This window comes from Homo sapiens, chromosome 5 (assembly GCF_000001405.40).
Source record: "Homo sapiens chromosome 5, GRCh38.p14 Primary Assembly".
Taxonomy (NCBI): domain Eukaryota; kingdom Metazoa; phylum Chordata; class Mammalia; order Primates; family Hominidae; genus Homo; species Homo sapiens.
Window position 1 is genome coordinate 142,885,886 of NC_000005.10, and position 20,100 is coordinate 142,905,985.

General features: G+C 42.0%; 1 protein-coding gene across 40 annotated transcripts in view, besides 1 other annotated feature; it reads left to right on the top strand.

Moving 5' to 3' along the window:
• The window catches only part of ARHGAP26 (Rho GTPase activating protein 26), a 458,635-nt gene that overhangs the window by 115,509 nt on the left and 323,026 nt on the right, over positions 1-20,100 (top strand). For all 40 annotated transcript variants that reach the window (NR_146198.2, XR_007058592.1, XR_007058593.1 and 37 more), the window contains 3 exons: positions 8,353-8,463; positions 16,050-16,154; positions 17,655-17,784. Coding sequence is in view for 37 of the 40 variants with exons in the window: in NM_015071.6 (NP_055886.1) it covers positions 8,353-8,463; positions 16,050-16,154; positions 17,655-17,784 (346 nt within the window). In the remaining 3 variants the exon portion in view is untranslated. The remainder of the gene's footprint in view (positions 1-8,352; positions 8,464-16,049; positions 16,155-17,654; positions 17,785-20,100) is intronic.
• Positions 9,976-10,882: an enhancer, noted in NCBI's record as "OCT4-NANOG-H3K27ac-H3K4me1 hESC enhancer chr5:142275426-142276332 (GRCh37/hg19 assembly coordinates)". NCBI's record gives its function as "activates a minimal SCP1, AML or CMV promoter by ChIP-STARR-seq in primed H9 embryonic stem cells {active_cell/tissue: H9 hESC(primed)}" and the evidence as "EXISTENCE:reporter gene assay evidence [ECO:0000049][PMID:30033119]".

Below are 20,100 nucleotides of genomic sequence, written 5' to 3' on the forward strand. Positions count from 1 at the left end.
CAGTGCTTTATTGTCCTGTATATATTTTGTGCTTTGGTAATGTTGTTTCAAGAAAATACATTCTTAAATTTGCGCTTGGTTTTTCTGGGTTTGCATGGTGTCTTTTAAAAAGTAGTTCACTTGGAAAGAAAAATGATGGAGCCATCGCAGCCGTGGAGCTGTGACCATTTTTATTTAGTTCATGAAGATTGGCATGCTAAGGGAGTTTATGCTTCTTGGAGATAGGGAGTTTCCTAGTGGAACCTCAAATTTGGCTTTAAAAATGTCATCTTATTTAACTCAACAGTTTGCTTGACCTCTGTCATATGTTTGCCAAAAGAGGCTACCGTGGCTTCCAGGCCGGCCCTTTTTTTAAAATTTTAATTCTTTTTGAACAGATACCATGCCAGTACTTCTGTTAGGTGAAAGTTCATATGAGGACAGTAGAGTCAGAGGTTGAAAGGTTGAAGTAACTCAGGAGATGGTGGAGTTCAATCCCCTCCCAACCACAATTGGTTACACATCTTGGGATAGGAATGTGGTGTTCTCAGAACTCTTTGCTTTGAAATAAGTATTTAATCCAGTTTTTAGAGTAGTGATAAGGACCATTACTCAACAACAATGACAACTGTAGCAGCAACAAAGGTTTATAATGGACTTTGTAGATCAGTTCTTGGCCAGCCAATAAACAGCATTGACTATTTGGTGTGTGCTTTACAAAGCAGAAAATACTAATTTATCCTTGAAGATCTTGTGCCTGAGTAGGGAAAAAGAAACAAAAGCGGAGGAAGTGCTTCTTGAAGTGGCATAGCTACTCAGGTAAATCTTGTCAAATGTGATTGAAAAACCTAAAAAATAAAAAAAAAAAATCTTATTTTCACGAGATACAAAGGCTATCCCAACTTGACATGAGGATATGGGCACTATCCCACAGACACAGATAATCCATGATAAATTTGGGATTCCATTTAGAATCTGTCTTGGTGCCCTGACTTTTTAGTTATTCTTCTGGCATCACTTGGCATTTAGGATTTGGAAACTAACTTATATTTAAAGAAAAGCTTTTTGGCTGTGCTTCACAGTGACCAGGTCTGCCCAGCTCTCCAGTTTCTAAGCAGGTATAAATTATGGATTAGATGACTATGCATCATTAGTACAGATATTCAGAGTATTCAGAGTTGAGCAGGTGTGTGGTTATTCTAGCACCTACTGAATCTGGGAGGCCCACAGCACAGTTACCCTGTAGGCATGGCATTCTCTGGAACAAAGGTGCTTCTCCACCAGATCCATTCTCTCCGTGGTCAAATATTGCAGACTTGGTCTGGAATGAGTCCAGCATTTTCTTTTAGGGCTGTGAATGTCTTCTGAATTACCACAGTGTAGGGACCAGAACGCTGGGCTGGCAAAGAGGATACCTTGCCTCAAAACCTTCTCTGCTGTGTATTTACTCTGTGACCTAGGGCAAATTACTTAGATTCTCTAAGCTTTATTTCCTTTATTTGTTAAATACTCATGAAATATCTGTCCTACTTATGTTATACATGAGAAGGCAAATATAACTGCTGCTCAAGTATGAAGTATATTTAATATAAAATGTGTAAATATCCTTATGATTGGCCTGTTCCGCTCCATTTTCTGTTCTCAAATTGGATGCCACTATTCCTGACTTTGACAGTTCTGTATTTCAGTGGATGTTTTCCATTATGCTCTTTTATTATAGTCCTTTATGTTCTTGCCTTTGACCTAGTCACACTTTCTAAGTACTTTGAGTGTAAGGATTGGGTTCCAGATCTTGCAGGTTCTGGTCTGTTCAGGTCAGTTCTCAGGCATTGCTTTTTAGTTGTAACTGAACTAAATTAAACTGTATAAAAATCTAACACTAAAGAGGTAAAGAGATCGAGACCATCCTGGCCAACATGGTGAGACCTCGTCTCTACTAAAAATACAAAAATTAGCTGGGCATGGTGGTGGGTGCCTGTAGTCCCAGCTACTCAGGAGGCTGAGGCAGGAGAATTACTTGAACCAGGGAGGCGGAGGTTGCAGTGAGCCACAGTCGCGCCACTGCACTCCAGCCTGGGCGACAGAGTGAGACTCTTTCTCAAAAAAAACCAAAAACCAAACATCAAAAAACAAACAAAAAAAAGAACAGTGATGATATTACTACTGCCACTAACCACATCAATAGCAACTATAATATAGGGAAACATTTGTTGAATGCATATTTATGGCCTGGGTATGGTGTTAAGCACTTTACATGGAATCTTCTGGAATCCTCACCCTAAGAGGTATAGATGTGGTTACTACTCTGTTTTACACATGAGGAAACTGAGGCTCAGATAGGATAAATAGCTTAGTGGTAGCGAGTTAACTCCAGCACTGGCTGTGCAGCCCTTTCCCTTCACCCAGTTTGCTTTTCTACGTCTCTATCTGGGGAGGGATGTTGAGGCTCTCTTGCCTGCTGACCATGTTATTTAGTGCCAGTGTCATGATATAGAATTAGAGAGAGGGAAGGACCTTAGTGATCATCCATTTCAACTTTCTTGAATTACGTTTTATGAGGGAACTGAGTTTCTCGTAGGGGTCAGGTGTTTTGCTCAAGGTGTTCAGCTATGTATTGATCATTTTCTTCACATTTATTAAAAATTCAACTTTTAGGAACATTGTTGAGCACGTGGTACACCTTTGATGAAACCTTCCACTCTGATTATCCAGAGTTGTTCCCTGATTGCAGGGTTCTGCACGGAATGCTTTTAAATTCCAGCCCATCCCTAGATCCCTGGAAGTAGAAACTACAGGGCAGTGATGTGGAATGGCACTGCCATCTAGTGGATGATTTAAACAAATGCATAGTTTTTGAATGGTAAAAAAGCTCGCCTCAAAAACAGTAGTCATTGATTCAACAAATACTCACTGGACGCTTCTGTAAAAGTCTGTCCAGGCACTGGGTGTTTTGTAGAAAGTGAAATGAAGGATCTTCTTTCATGGAAATTACAATCTAGGAGGAAGTCTCTTTTCCAAGAAACGCAGAATGGTTGACGGGTTTAATCAAGCCGGTAGATTTATAGCTTCTCAAGTGGCAGGCAGGGAAACTGTCTTGAGCGGTCTGCAGGGTGGGTTGGGATCCTGGCTTATAATTCCATTGCAGGGGGCCCAAGGATGTGATGGATTCTGTGGCCCACACCATTCTGGGGCATTGGCAAGAGAAGCATAACATTCCGCTTAGGATTTCTTCTTCCTTTTCCTTTGGGAATGCATTGAGTTATGCATTTGTTCTTAGTTCTGGGTCACTGATGGGACATGCCTTTGGTGCTGACTGATGGCCACATGGGGATCAATTCATTCATTCTGCATGCATCTGTTGAACGTTTATTATGGGCCATACACCGTTCTGAGCACTGGAGGAGAAAAATGAAAAAATTAGACGAGGTCTTTGTTCTCATGGACTTTATATTCTAGTAGTCTAGTAGGCCAGGCACGGTGGCTCATGCCTGTAATCCCAGCACTTTGGTAGGCCAAGGCGGGTGGATCACTTGAGGTCAAGAGTTTGAGACCAGCCTGGCCAACAAGGCGAAACCCTGTCTCTAGTGAAAATGCAAAAAAAAAATTAGCTAGATGTGGTGGCACGCGCCTGTAATCCCAGCTACTTGGGAGGCTGAGGCAGGAGAATCACTTGAACCCAGGAGGCGGAGTTTGCAGTGAGCTGAGATCATGCCACTCCACTCCAGCCTGGGCAACAGAGCGAGACTCTGTCTCAAGAAAGGAATAGATAAGAGTTTAAATTGGGAGATGAGACAGAGATTTCCTGGTAACCTATTTAAAATAACATAGTCAATGAAAGCCTCTCCTAAAGAGGTAACATTTAAACTGAGCCCAGAAGGAATGAGCTAATGAAAGGCCAGGACAATCTTCTTCAGGTTGTGAGTGTGTCGCAAAATCACAGTTTTTGGGTTATGCAATAGGGTAGGCTAAAATAGAATGAAAAATACAAGGCCTGGCGCGGTGGCTCATGCCTGGAATCTCAGCACTTTGGGAGGCTGAGGTGGACAGATCACCTGAGGTCTGGAGTTCGAGACCAGCCTGACCAACGTGGAGAAACCCCCATCTCTATTAAAAATACAAAATTGGCCGGGCATGGTGGTGCATGCCTGTAATCCCAGCTACTTGGGAAGGCTGAGGCAGGAGAATATCTTGAACCTGGGAGGCGGAGGTTGCGGTGAGCCGAATTCGCGCCATTGTACTCCAGCCTGGGTAACAAGAGCGAAACTCCGTCTTAAAAAAAAAAAAAAAATATATATATATATATATATATATATATATATATATATATATATATGAAAGTGCATTGCATTTAACCATTATAAATGTGTGTTTATTGAGTCATAATATAAAAAGTATTTCTTACTCTATGTTGAAGTTAAAATGTGTGTTTATCTAGGAGAAGAGGTTTTTGGGCAGAATGAACACCAGGTGAAAAGGTTGTGGGAAAGAAAGCGGTTTGGAGTGTTAGAGGACAGGAAGGAGATCCAGCAGTTACTCATGTCACCATGCTGGAGCATGGTGACAGTGGGTTAGGATGGGAGGAGGTGAGGCTGGAGGGTTGGGCAGATTATTACACAGGGTCTTGCAGACCATGGTAGAGGCCATGAGAAGTCCTTGAAGGGGACCATGAGACCATCTGATTTAGATTTTAAGGAAGATATTCTGGCTCCTGTGTGCAGAGTGGATTGGGGCAGAGGGAGAGAATGAAGACAGAGAGACCAGTTAGGAGAGAAGTGTAGTAGCCCAGAGATGATGTGGCTGGTTTAGGGTAGAGCAGGAAGTGAGACCCCTGTGTTCTGAAGTGCCTGGTGACAGCAACCACCGACATGCACGGGACACTTTCCAGTTTTCAAATGGTTTACATCATTTGGCCCATTTTCTCTTGGAAACACTCTACTCAGAAGCAAGGGCTGATATTATCTCCATCTTCTAAAGAAGATCAATGACTTGAGCAGGTCTCACCAGCTAGGACATTGTAGCATTGGAGCTTGCACTTGGGCAGCTCTCTGATGTGGGAGTCAATTCTGTTTTCCTTATAGGGATTTCCTTCTGGATCCTTCTTCTCTGCCTTTGCAGATTTTCAGAATGATTTCTCCTGTTTTCCCCCTCCACTTGCAGTGTCAGTTGGCAAGCCCAGGCAGAGAGAAGCTTTGAGGTGTGTGGGGTGGTTGGGAGTAGATGCATCTCTCCGTGTAAGCGTGTTGGATTTGCGCTACAAGAAGATCAAAGGCTACAGGAACACATGGGGCTTAGCCGCAGGAGCCCAGTTGGAAGGCGTATCAGCCCAGTTGTCTAAGCAGCCACACGATGCAGGGGGTGGTGGTGGTGAGAAGCAGGACCTTCTGAAACCTGTCTCCAAGTAAAGATTCATCAGTGCTCAGATATCTCCTTTCCCTGATTGGAAGTCTTAGAAAATGCCCCCAGTCTTAGCCTTTCAGATTGGTTTGATCCAGCAGTTACTCAGCAGACTGGCTTTTGAGTATGAGAATGTCCATTGCTGTGGGAGGAAGTTGCTAGCATGAGAGACTTGAATATATTCTTTCGGGGTGTTTTATAACATAATGTGTTTTACCAGAGCTTGTAGTTTTCTCTTAACTTACTTATTTGACTAATGTCTGTTTTCTTTACTATGCTGTAAGTTCTATGAAGGAAGTTTCTTTTTCTCATGATGGTGGAATGGATGGATGATTTGCTAAGCTCTTAAGATGTCAAGTAGCATATTGTATTTGGTATAATGGAAGTAGGGGTCTGTTCCAAGTTTCTTCTGTAGGAATGTTGACAAAGGAACACTGAAAGAAATATGCCTTTGGGAGCTGTGTCTTAGTAAAGGGTGTTATAGAACGGTTTCTGACTGTGTCATTTCTAAGGAAAACAGTGTTTTGTTTCTTACTAGCAGGATATTCATTTATATTAAAAATATATATTCACTTTAGTGTTTTGTCATTGAAATATGCTTTCAGTGTAATTATCTGCTTTGAAGGAATGATTTGACACACATTATGGAAAGGTTTAGAGCTTTATAGTGAGAGTTGAGGTACTTCCCAGCATAGCATCTTGCAACTCCATACGTGGAGTTTCTCCCTGGGTGCCAGATCCCAGATCAGTGGTTCAATTGTACCCGCTCGTGGGCCTGTCCTGGACACACACCTGCACAGAGGGAGAAGTGAAATTGAGAGGGAGTGTTGAAATTTCCCTGCTTGGAGTAAACTGTTGTTCTTATCACAAAGGAAGTATTTGGGACTTCTGTGAACATGGCCCATGGCCTTTTCTGAGATTCCCTGCCCTCTGACAGCTTGTTTTGTGTATTGGAAAGGTCTAGATGAGGATGGCTCTGCAGGAATTTCTTTTTCACTGTAAGAATCTGTCTCCCATGGAACCCAGGTTGTCCCAGGGTATGGGGAGACAGTGGAGACTGGTGGTTTCAGGATGATCCAAGGGCCTTGGGGGCAGATCCACCAGGACAGAAATCCCAGCTCTGCCGTATACTAGCTGTGTCACCTTAGTCAAGTTCCTTAATGGCAATGGATTATATTTTCTTCCTGTATGTTAGAGATACAGATAATATCTCTTTTCTAGGAATTTAGTGAAGATTAAATAATTAAAATTAATGAGGATTAAATAAGGTAATGTATGTACAGCTATGGGCATGATTCCTGGCACAAAGTTAGTGCTTAGGTAACCATTATCATTATTCTTATTTCTGTTTGGTTTGTTGATTACTTTTAACATGTGACATACTATTTGGGCTAATATGACGTCTGTTTGGCTCACCCACTTACCTTTTTTATTGATATGTAATAATCATACATATTTATGGGGCATGTATACTATTTTGATATATGCCTATAATGTGTAATGATCAAATCAAGGTATTTAGGGTATCAGTCACCTCGAACATTTATCATTTCTTTGTGTTGGGAACATTTCATATCTTCTAGATATTATGAAATATACACCGTACATCAGTTAGCCATAGTCATCCTACTGTGTTCTGAAATACTGGAACTTATTCCTTGTATCTCACTGTATTTTTGAACCCATTAAGCAACCTCTCTTCATCCTTCCCACCCCACCCCACCCCCCCGCTTTTTTTTTTTTTTGAGACAGAGTCTCGCTCTGTCACCAGGCTGGAGTGCAGTGGTGTGATCTTGGCTCACTGCAACCTCCGCCTCCTGGGTTCAAGTGATTCTCCTGCCTCAACCTCCCGAGTAGCTACCATATGTGCTACCATGCCCAGCTAATTTTTGTATTTTTAGTAGAGATGGGGTTTCACCATGTTGGCCAGGATTGTCTCGATCTCTTGACCTCGTGATCCGCCCACCTCGGCCTCCCAAAGTGCTGGGATTATAGGCATGAACCACGGCACCTGACTCCCACCCCTTTCTTAGCCTCTGATAACTCTCATTCTACTTTTTACTTCCTTGAGATCCACTTTTTTAGCACCTACATATGAATAAGAAGATGTGATATTTGTTTTTCTGTGCCTTCACTTGACATAATGACCTCCAGTTCCATTCATGTTGCTGCAGATGACAGAATTCCATTCTTTTTCATGGCTGAATAGCAGTCTGTGTGTGTGTATTTATCCATTCATCCATTGAACACTTAGGTTCACTTCATATCTTGGCTGTTGTGAGTAGTGCTGCAATAAACATGGGGGTACAGGTATCCCTTTGATATAGTGATTTCCTTTTCTTTGGATAAATACCAAGTAGTGGGATTGCTGGATTATATGGTAGTACTATTTTTAGCTTTTTGAGAAATCTCCATACTGTTCTCCATAATAGTTGTACTAATTTACATTCCCACCATCAGTTCCCTTTTCTCCCCATCCTTACCAGCATTTGCTATTTTTAATCTTGATCATAGCCATTGTAACTGGCTTGAGATGATATCTCATTTTGATTTTGACTTTCATTTCCCTGATAATTAGTGATGTTGAACGTTTTTTAATATACCCTTTGGCTATTTGTGTGTCTTCTTTTGAGAAATGTCTATTCAGATCTCCTGCCCACTTTTTAATGGTATTATTTGTGGGTTTTTTTTTTTTCTGTTGAGTTGAGTTCCTTGTATACATTTACCTTTTTAAACCAATAATCTCATTAGAAAGCTTTTTTTTTGTTTTAAAAAAATATGTATTTAAGTTGTATAATATGATGTTTCAGTATATTTTTGCATAGTGAAATAGTTACTATAGTTATTCTTCTTCTGTGTAATGCTATTTGATTTGTTTTTGAAAATTATCTCCCGAGATTTTTTTTTTCTGACCTGCTTTCGGAATGCTATCCTTGGGTAGTGACTTGATTTTTCTCTTAAATTCCATCTTGTTTGTAGGCAGACAGCCAAGTGGACCTGGTCCGGCAGCATTTCTATGAAGTATCCCTGGAATATGTCTTCAAGGTGCAGGAAGTCCAAGAGAGAAAGATGTTTGAGTTTGTGGAGCCTGTAAGTAGATATTCAGGGTTTAATGATGTACCCATATATTCATCCCTCATTCTAACTAGTAGTAGATTACAAAATGCTCTAAGTTGTTGATGAAGAGGTTGAGCAGCCCTGACACTGTCCCTTCTGTAAGTATCAGTGCTTTGCGAGCCTGGCTGCCTTGGATTCTTCCCAGCAGCCATTCCTGTACAACACATAGCAATGGAGATAGAGCGTCCAGCAGTCATTCCTTCCTCTGGCTACCCAATGATGTGCCATATGATTTTCAGGTGGACAGAGTGGAAATGGGAGTCCAGAGGGGAGGGGTTCTCTATCTTGCCATGAAATAGTGATTATACCTTAACTTCCCTCCTCTCTCCTACCCTTCTTCTCTTCCTCAAATAATTCAGATGTAGTAGTCACCCAAAGACATAGTACATTTCTCTTTTTACCCTGTGGTTCAAAGCCCCTTCTCACCCCATTCAGGTATTAAAAGATGCTATATAAAGTTTCTCACATGGATTTCCCACATGGATTTGTTATAAACAGAACAGCATAGAGACTCTGCTGAGTGGACCATGATGGAATTTGGACTTGGACACTGTCCCAGTGAACATGAAGATTGCATTGTGGGAAAAAGCCTGACTTTAGTTTAGGCCACACCAGCATGGTTGTGGTTTCATTTGGACATGGTGCCACTCCACTTTGCTGGGTGTGGCACTGGTGTGGAGAATCCACAGCAGGAAGACTTCATGGAAACACCAAAATAGTATATGGACCTCAATTTAAAACTCTCGCAGACCATGGATTTTCCAGCCAAAATGCAGCCTCTGATTTAGACTCAAGCATGGCATCTCTGTACAAATAAGATTCTCTACCTAGATTTAAGAAAGGATAATTTTCTTTTTTCTTTTTTTTTTCTTTGAGACAGCTTCTCGCTCTGTCACCCAGGCTGGAGTGCAATGGTGCAATCTCAGCTCACTGCAGCCTCTGCCTTCTGGGTTCAAGCGATTCTCCTGCCTCAGCCTCCTCAGTAGCTGGGACTACAGGTGCACGCCACCACGCCTGGCTAATTTTTGTATTTTTTAGTAGAGACGGGGTTTCACCATGTTGGCCAGGATGGTCTCGATCTCCTGACCCCGTGATCCGCCCGCCTCGGCCTCCCAAAGTGCTGGGATTACAGGCATGAGCCAGCACGCCCGACCAAGAAAGGAGACTTTTCTTAAGCAAATAAGAATAAAACTGTAAGAAACTGAAAGGAGTGGCCACTCTTTCTAGTAAAGAGCATTGTGTACCCCATGTCTAATTTATAAACTTTTGGGGTGGATTTTTTTAGGCATGTAGACTTGCTGGTAGTTTCATCAAGACTCCAATTGGTGGCCAGGCACAGTGGCTCATGCCTGTAATCCTAGCACTTTGAGAGGCTGAGGCAGGAAGATCACTTGAGACCAAGAGTTTGAGATCAGCCTGGGCAACTGGGCAACATAGTGAGACTCCATCTCTTAAAAACAAAAAAAGATTACAATCGGCTTTGGAACCTTATGTCTACATCTTTTACTATGCTAGAACTATAATTTCTGGATACCACTCCCAGCTACCTCATTTGGCAGATTCCTTAAAGTCGTCAATTACTTCAGTCTCCATATATGAATATTAAAACCTTAGACCTAACTTCCAGCAGTGTGGTTTCAGTCAAGGTCCCAAGTCAAAAATCCCCATCTTTCCACAGGGTCTGTTAGGTGTGAGCAGCTATCTGTCAGATAAAGCAGCCTTATTGATTTTCCTGCTTAAAGCACAAACTGGCCTTTCAAGCAAAGGTTTACTGAAGACTTGCTTCCTGTGGTCAGGGCAGGAATGCAAATGCTGTCACATAGAATTTGCCTTTAGCATTATTTTTATTTGCTTTTGCCAGACTTTCTAGAGAAAAAGAACAGTGCATTTCTAATAATCTTTATATATACTTCGATTAATATTATTCCAAATTTGCTTGCTTTTGATGAGTTTTTTTTGTAATTGGCCCATCCAACTTTTTTGAGGTGAGTGTTTTGTTATCCACTTTGATCTCTCAGTAGGCGTACCTAGTGAGTCAGGTATTTTATCTGTTGGCTTTTGCTGAATGGTATCCACAAAACCTCATACAACAATAGATGTTTACTTCTCACACATCTGTGAGGTTCAGCCAGCTTAGGCTTGGCTCAGCTGGATAGCTTTGCTGATCTAAATGGGTTTTCCTCCTCCTTCTTCTCCTTCTTTTGTCTCTCCTCCCCCTCTTCCTTCCTTCTTTCTTGAGAAAAGAAATCTCTAAAGATTTACCATTCCATTTCCTGGCATCCTGTTGTAGTGTGTCCATGTCTTAGGGAGTTTTCACTTTAAGAAGCAGTAGCATCATGGTTAAGGATTCTAGAGCTAGACTCCCTGAATTTAAATCCCAGCCTAGCCATTTACTAGCTGTGTGTTCTTGGGCAAGTTATTTCTCTGAGCCTTACTTTCCCCATCTGCAGAATGGGGATAGTAATATCACCTACTTTATAAAGTTGTATGAGGATTGACTGAGTGTTTATCCATGTGAGGTGCTTAGAACAGAACCTGATTAGAACCAAATAAAAACTTAGCAATTATTATTTTTTATTTATGAGCAAACGAGTGAAGTACCAATATTAACAGGGCCTACCTGTTTTAATATAAACAGTTTTGGTAGCTTTAAAAGTATGTATTTATTGAATACCGTAGAAAATGCTGAAAACCCAGGTGCTGTGGCTGAGGCATTCACAGCCTCACTGGGGTAAGCAAGATGTGTGTAGTAGAGAGCTAGTCAAGATAGCAAGCAGTTCAGTGACAGCTTGGACAGGATGGATGCTATAGATGTGCCAGAGGGATTTAAAAGTATAACCATCGTAGTGTGCAGATGTTTTTCAGTTCATACAGTGAGAAACCTGGAGAGCTAATGAAAAGAAATTTTCAGTCTCATGTTAGGACAAAGATAGTAATAGGGATTTGCCCAAAGTTAAACTAAATGCTGAGAGGCTGGATATAGGATTCAGATGTTTGGCCTTTGCTTTTCTACAGAAGTTATTGTCTCTGCACATCAGCTTCTAGGCAGGTCAGTGGCTTCAGGAGCTGGGGATGGGGAGAAGGTATTCATACAGTGAAAAAGCTACTGATGAGATCAGTGATTCTCAGTGTTAGACATGCACATTCTCAGGCTTCACTCCAGACCTGAAATTTAAGGGAGGGGCCCAGTAGCCTGTAGTTTAGTAAACCTTCCCCGTGATTCAGCTGCACATTTCAGTTTGAGCCACTGGCCTAGATTATACAAAGGAAGAACATGAAATAACAATTGATGATATTATCTGAAACTGTCGTGTACCGTGCTAAGCGCTTTACCTACAGTATGTCAGTCAAACCTTATAACATCTCTGAGGGTAAGTACTGTTTTTATCCCAATTTTCAGATGAAGAAATTGAAACAAATAAGTTTCTTTACCTGTCCAACATCATATCTAGTAAATAGCAGAGCTGGAAGGGTCTGACTTTTCATCTCCATGAAATAGCATTTGATTGCTTACAGGTGGGAAAGAAACCAGCAAGAAGTCTATTGAACTAAATTGCTGGAGTGGGTATTCATATTTGAGTTGGTTACAGTCAAGGGAATCTTCCAGTCATGTAAGGGACCTCTATGCAAATCGACCGTGTTCATTTGTTTCTTGAAAGTAACTTCAAGTACCAGGATATTATTGACCTTCAGAAAAAGAAACAGTTGTAGTATTCCCAAGGAAGAAAAATCAGACTTCTGGGATCTAAATCAGATCTTTTGGGATATATATGTGTGTATATATATATACACACACACATACACACACACACACACATATATACACACACATACATATACATATATACGTATGTGCATATATATATGTATATGTATGTATATATTTGCACTGGAAGCTTTAATTTTCTTGTCACAGTACTAAATGTTCTTGAGATTTGGATTGCAGATAATGACATATTGACTCCATGAAGGTGAAGCCACATTCCCTCTGTTGCCTGAGTTTTCGTAATTGAAGGTTGGCTAGTGCCCCAGAGAACTCATTCTCCATGTTCATTAGGCCTGCATCCTCCGAGTTTTCCATCCTGAATATTTCTTGGTGCAGTGTCTCTTCCTCTCCTTTCCCTCTGCTTCTGTCCCATTGCAGGCCTTCATTCTTTTCTCTGGACTTTGCATTCTGCCTTGGGCCTCCCCGTTCTCCAGTCTGGCCTGGACCAGAATGCACCTTCTAACACGTCAGTCTGATTCTCTCTCTCTCTCTTTTGCCAAGAAGCTCCTGACAGCACTCCTGTGCTAAGCCCATTACATGGATGATCTGAATTAATCTTCACTGCAACTCTGTGCAATAGTAAAAACCACTGTTATCCTCTTGTCAAAGATGAGTTAAAGGGAGTTATGTGGCTTAGCCCCCTCAGCTTTTCATCACTCTACTAGCTGCCCTTCTCTTTGTTGCCTGTGCGGATGATTCTTGGTAGCTGTATTAGTTTGCTAGGGCTGCTGTAACAAAGTACCACAAATTGGGTGTCTTAGAACAACAGAAATCTGTTGTCTCACAGTTCTAAAGCCTAGAAGTCTGAAGTCAAGGTTTTGGCACCAAGATCCCTCTGAAACCTGCAGTGAAAGGTGACTTCCTTTCCTCCTAGCTTCCCGTGGCTTGTGATCATGTTTGGCATTTCTTGGCTTATAGATGCCTCCCTCCAGTCCTTCATCCTCACATGGCCATGCTTGTCTGTGTGTCCACATTTTCACCTTTCTAAGGACACCAGCTATGGCATCTTTGTAAAAGTACTAGGGCCCACCCTAATGTCCTCATTTAACTTGATTACCCATGTAAAGACCCTATTTCCAAGTGAAATCACCTTCAGAGGTATTAGGACTTCAACATATCTTTTTTTGGGGGACACAATTTAACCCAGTAAAGTAGGTCTGTTCTATGAATGGTGACAATCCAGAGTGATGCAGCCAGCATTAACTTGGGCAATTAGATTTTTGCTTTTTAAAATGAAAAAAATAAATTATGTTGTCAGCTAGGAAGTAGGAATAGGTTTTGCTTATGGTTATTCTTTTAGGATAACAAGGATAGAGAAGGAGGCACAGGGAGGCGGGAAAGATCTTTCCTATGTCAGGCTGTGATGTTGTGGTTGCCCCGTGGACAGCTGACCCCTCTTATTTGATAACCAGGTGGGACTGCAGCAAGCTCTTCCTCCTAGTGTTTGGGTAGAAGCATTTCTTTGAAGCAGACAGCTCCCCCATCTCTGGAGTCCCGTGGGCTTCATCCTGCCCCCTGAGGAGTGGACTTTCATTTCCCACTTTGTAATACTTCAAAGGTTCATATAGTGTTGGGGGTGGGGGAGAGAAAAGGTGCTGGGAGGAGAGAAGCAAGGGGGAAGTGGGCCAAAAATAGCAATATGTTAAGGAGTCATTTCCCATAAAAAAATGGACAATCAAGGCATGAGACTAAAGGAGGAAAAACAAAATAAATATTAGTAACTCCCTGCCTTTGGGGAGCACTTGCGGGTATGCCCAGGTGGCATCTTAGTGAGCTGTTTGAGAATATTTAATTACCCCGAGCAAGAGAGGCTCTGTTTACTATGAGTGAAGGATAAATCATAGTTAATAGGAGGAATGACCTTGGAATTAACTGCTTATCTTCTGCGTTATTCTCAAGTCAGGGGTAGTGTCATGCCTTGGAAAGGCGATGGGGCAGGGCATTTGCAGATAGCAGGGAGAGCAGAGTTAAGAAGAGGCAAAACAGTTTTCACTGTGAATGCTGGGACTCGGTTTGGCAGAGGAGCCTCCTCTCCTCTGTTATTGGAGCCATCTAAAAGGAAAGGTATGGGTCTTCCTCTCAGAAAAGTATTTTGTATAGAATAAGCCCAAAGCCTTCGGCCGTCTTTGAAGAAAAACATTCATTATCAGTCTCTAGTGACTCCATGGGGCTTACCACTCATTCACGGATTTATGTTAGGGGTCTGTATATGGTGCCACTGGATAGTTTTATAGCCAGAGGACCCAGCAATGCCTACTCTCCCACCACCCATGAGAATCTAAGGGGATAGATGGGCCGGGGACAGTGGCAATGGGAAGTTAAGGGCCATATTGTCATAATCTGGGTTTTATCTTCACAGGGCCCAGATCTTTGATTAAACTGGGCTGGCCTGCCCTCTGAGTTTAGGTCCAGTGCTATATACTTTTGTGCTTACTATTCCTGCTGCAAACAAGGTGGGAGAGTAGGGGGAGGGGGGGCGGGATGAGATTCCTTTACCGTCACTTATTATAGCTGCCTCTCAGAAAAGGAGAGTTAGTTAGGTGAAAATAAGTGGGATGGGATTATGTTTAGTAAGTAAAGTAAATTTTTTTTTTACATAATAAGTAATGTTTAACAGGTTAAAAAAAAATCATTTAGGGACTGAAAATCTGAAGACCACAATGTAAAATAAAGCAAATGTGTCTTGGAATAAGGTGGTATGGCAGGTCAGGGAGGTCAGAGTGGACCCCTCAGAAAATGTGGGTCAGCCTTCAGAAGCCGAAGTTAATGGGATAGTCCCCAAATACCATGGAGCTGTGCTTTGTGATAGAGGTGAGGCACTGGTCTTTCCTAAATCTCGTTCGGGCTTTTATTATAATCCTTTCTTCAGGTTGAAGTTTAGAACTGAGGGAAGATGTGTAGAACTTGAGAAGGGGCCAGGAAAGCATAACAACAGTGAGGTTTGGATGTAAGCTCCGAGAGGAAAGACCACAGGAATGCTGTTTGTTTAGTTTGGATAAATGAAGGCTGGTAGGGGCTCAGGGAGGGGACATTAATAGTTTTTAAGTATATGAAGCCGTGTGGTGAGCATTGTGGTGAACAGATGTTTTTACCATTCACTAAAGACAAGACTAAACAATGAAACGGGCTTACCTTTTAGCCTGAGGGATTTAATTGAGAATTTAGGGAAACCACCATAAGTGAAAATGTGGGAATATGGAAATATTTTAATAAAGGAATCCATAGTGTTTACTTTTGAGTAGTTTGGGGAAAGCACGGAAACACACTTCAGTTGGATGATTTTCTTTGATTTGACTTTGCCTGTTAGACTGTAGACTCAGGACACCCCACTTCCTTTTCTGCCTTCCTCTTCTGTGTAATAACCTGATACTACAAATGTACTAGAGGGAAACTGAGTCAGAACCCTGGTCTTTGGTTTCTGAGGAAATGATGTTCTCAGCAGGTGGTGAGGCCCACAGGGCAAGGGCATGGGTGTTGATGCCAAGGAGACCTGGTTTCAAGTTCTGGCTGCCACTTACTGTGTGTTTTGGGGCAAGTTTCTTAACCTCTCTGAACCTGCTTCCTCATTATTAAAATGGGGATAACAGTAGTGCTTAGGTCATGGGATGTTGTGAGTACTCACCCAGGGCATGGAAGGGCATAGTGCCTGGCACACAATTGGTGCTCTTTAAATGTCAGCCATTATTATTCTTTATTTTAGACTTTCAAGCCAGTGTTGGGAGCTCAGATACAGCTACATAATACCTCTTTTCAACCTGGTTATGTGACCTTTGCCTTTCTTCCTTCATTACAGCTGCTGGCCTTCCTGCAAGGACTCTTCACTTTCTATCACCATGGTTACGAACTGGCCAAGGATTTCGGGGACTTCAAGACACAGTTAACCATTAGCATACAGAACGTGAGTGGGCATAGGGACAGGCTTCTTTTATCTGGTTAAGGAAAAACAAAATATGGGCCTGATTGCCCTAGAAACCATCCAGGTGGCTTGGAATGTAGGTGAGGAGGGTGGGTCTTGCTTGGGTTCAGAGGGAAACTAGGGGCAGGCGTTTCTAGAGTGCTTGGTGGTTCTGAGTTAGACCATCATCCTCTTCTCCATTATTTCAAAGCCCTATTTATGTTCTCGGAAGTGCTGCTGCTGGTTATGTTTCAAATTTGTAGCGTCTGTAGCATTGGAGTCAGGATTTCCTTTGGCGGTGGAAATCCCAGCCCAACCCAGCCTCCATTCTATGCATCTAGCTGCCTGACTACATGAGACCGTGTGGAGTGTGTGTTCTGGGAATGGGGGCTGGGGACACATGCTGGCCTCCAGCTCAAAGGATGTTCTCTTGTCCAACTCTTAGGAAGGCTGGCAGGAAATCCAAGTCCGTGCTTCGCTCCCAGTGTGGTCAGCATTCCCAAGGTTTAAACACAGGACCTTTTGGTGCACAGAATCCTGCGTAGGGCTTTTTGGTTAGCAGTCACTGGGGCTTGAGCCCCCTTCTTCACTGTGGGATTGGACCATGTTATTCTTCTTATTTTCTTTGTCTCTAGGTGATCTTGTGTCCATGTGGGTTGTACTGCATGGGTTTTAGAAGCCTGGAGGTTACATAGTAGTCAGTGTTGTCTCAGAGAACAGGAAGTTGCAGAATCTTGGAAAAGGTTTCACAAAGCATGGCTTCCCCTTAGGCCAGGTTTCTCAGAATGCAGGCTCTGAAATCGAGATTGACATGCAGTGGGCTTACTGGAGGTGGGGGCAATGCTGGTGAAAACACCTGTGACAGAGTGAGGGCACCTGGACTCGCAGAGGGGGAAATAGAGCTGTGATGCAGATGCAGCAGAGGTCTCAGTGCAGGGGAGGCTCTGGAGCTGGGATGATCCTTCAAAGTCGCCCTGAATACAAGCAAGGGGGCCAGGCTTTCAACCCCCTTCTGCCTTTCCTCTAGCCTTGTCTAGTCATTGGGTGCAGGCTGACCTTGAGTGAAGGAACTCCCCTTTTAAGGAGGGACTCATCTGTGAGCCATCAGCAAGCAACATTCATGGCAGCTGGAGAAATGAACGCCTAGGTCCTTAAGTCATACAGGCCCCTAGAGCATCTGAATCAGAATCACCTGGGAGGCTTATCGTAAAACACACTTTTTGGCATCCAGAGGTGCTGAATTGATCTGTAGGAGTGAGGGCTGGGCATTTGCATTTTCTATAAGATCCCTAGGTGATTTTGATAGTCACTAGAGTTTGAGAGTCATTCTGGTATAGGACTTTAAGGCCAAAGTATACTTGTCATAAGGGAGTATTTGGCCAGTTCCTGGAAGGTTGAATGTCCTTTATCTCATTTTAGATCTAAGGATTCTATTAGGTTGATCTGGATTGTTAAAACAGATACTTTGTTTCTTTGATTTGAATAAAATTATTTTCATCCTAGACAAGAAATCGCTTTGAAGGCACTAGATCAGAAGTGGAATCACTGATGAAAAAGATGAAGGAGAATCCCCTTGAGCACAAGACCATCAGTCCCTACACCATGGAGGGATACCTCTACGTGCAGGAGAAACGTGAGTGCTTTGACTAGCAACAGCTTGGGATGTACTCAGGCCTCTTACCTAGAAGGTGGAGGATGTATTCAGCAGTGCCTACCTTACTGTAGATACATGCTTGGATAACAAGAACAATTTTATAGTTCACCTTTCCAAAGAGAAAGATGATGTCCACAGAATCTTGTCTACCTTTGTTTTTCTTTATGAATGGGAATTCCTTTGGGAACCTGCAATTCTTTAAGGCTCTGTGGTTGCTCTTCTCTCTCTAATGTTACTCTACTCTTGGGGTTCCTGTACCCCTAGTCCAGCTTTATGTACCATACCCTGAGCATAGCAGCCTTGGAAAGGTCTTACATGCTAGGCCCCTGTTATCTATCAGCAGTGTATCCTTTGGTAGACTTAATACTTGGTGATTCTGTTTTCATTTGACATTGTTTCAGCAAGGCCCAAACAATCATGACTTAGGCCTTTTTCCTCTTCTCCTCAACTCATTTCATTCCAACACTTGAATTTTATGAAAAGTAGGAACAAAGGCTCACTTCAAGAGCCAAGAAGAAGGCTGCATGCGGTGGCTCACGTCTGTAATCCCAGCACTTTTGGAGGCTGAGGTCGGTGGATTGCTTGAGCTCAGGAGTTCAAGACCAGCCTGGGCAACATAGTGAAACCCTGTCTCTACAAAAATACAAAAAGTAGCCAGGTGTGGTGGTGTGCACCTGTGGGCCCAGCTACTTGGGAGGCTGAGGTGGGAGGATTGCTTACCGGAGTGAGCCTGTTGAGGTTTATAAGAGCTCAGGAGGTGGAGGCTGCAGTGAGCTGAGATTGCCACCACTGTACTCCAGCCTGGGTGACAGAGCAAGACCCTGTCTCTTAAAAGAAAAAAAAAAAAGAGCCAAGAATACTCATTGTTCTGCCAGTGATGTCTAGGAAAGGAATGCCAGGTGCTGCTAACATGGACATTTTAGTGATGACTCACAAGTTCATGCCTTATGGCTGGGGAAAGGCTCTGTGATGGGGCCGTGCCGTTTAGGATAGCACATTCAGACTTAATTCGTGTATGCAATGCTAGGAACGAAAGAAAGTGAATGTTTTTTTCTTTAGTGGGTAATTCTTCTCCTAGTCCTTTGGTAGAGAACATTGGTCTTTTCAGATTTTTGCAGGTTTTGTGTTCTTTCATGTCCTGCTCTTCATGTAGAGTTAGGCAGATGTCTTCACTCCTAATAGCTTTCCGATGGGATAGAATAGAAATACTTGGTTTCACTAATTATTCTATTTAGTAATTACTCAAAAATTTGTTTGGACTTAAGTTTCCTGGTAACTGGGGCAGTAGTGGTGTTGGAGTATTGGCTGTGATGAGGATTACATTCCTTATTCTTACAGAGATGAGCCTGTTGAGGTTTATAAGAAATGTAGCTACTTCAGCTGTGTGTTTTGTATATGCCTGAATACAAAGTGATCCCCTCTTTGCCCAGTGAGAAGATCCCTGCAAAAGGTTTTAGGTCTACTTGAAAATATAAATTTTTAGGACTCTAAAAATATAGTTCAAAGTCCACCTATAATACTTAATTTGTTAATATATCATTCACTTACATATATAAAATCAATGTTGTTTTTTTGCACTCTCATGTCACACACTTTTATTCAGACACTTCACATGCTCTTTCAACATTAGTGTGTTGATTATCATGAGGACACTTTTTTGTTCCCTAACACAGTCCAGAGCACATGATGGGGATACAGCACTTTTTTTTTAATTTTAAATTTTTTGTAACTTGTTATTTTGAAATAATTTCAGACATACAGAAAAGTCGCAACAATGGTGTAAGGAACAACCATAAACCCTTTACCCAGTGCATCAATTTTTAACATTTAGCCACAATGATATCATTCCTTCTCTCTCTGTGTGGGTGTGTGAGTATTCACGTGAGTACAACTTGCATACACACACATACACACTTTTTTCTGAGTCATTTGAGAATATGGTTGCATATACCATGCTTCTTCAGTAGTGAGTATTTTCTAAGAATAAAAGATATTCTTTTTATGTAAACACATCTGTTAGGTTGGTGCAAGAGTAATTATGGTTTTTGCCATTAAAAGTAATAGCTAAAATCGCAATTGAACTCTTGCCATTAAAAGTAATGGCTAAAATCGCAATTGAACTCTTGCACCAACCTAATATCAAATTTAACATTGGTGCAATATTTAATCTGAACTACAGTCCGTATTCCAGTTTTGCCAGTTGTATCAATAATGGCCTTCTAAAGCATTTTGTTGTTCTCCAGTACAGAACCTCATACTGCATTTAGTTGTCATGACTTTAGTCTCCTTTAATCT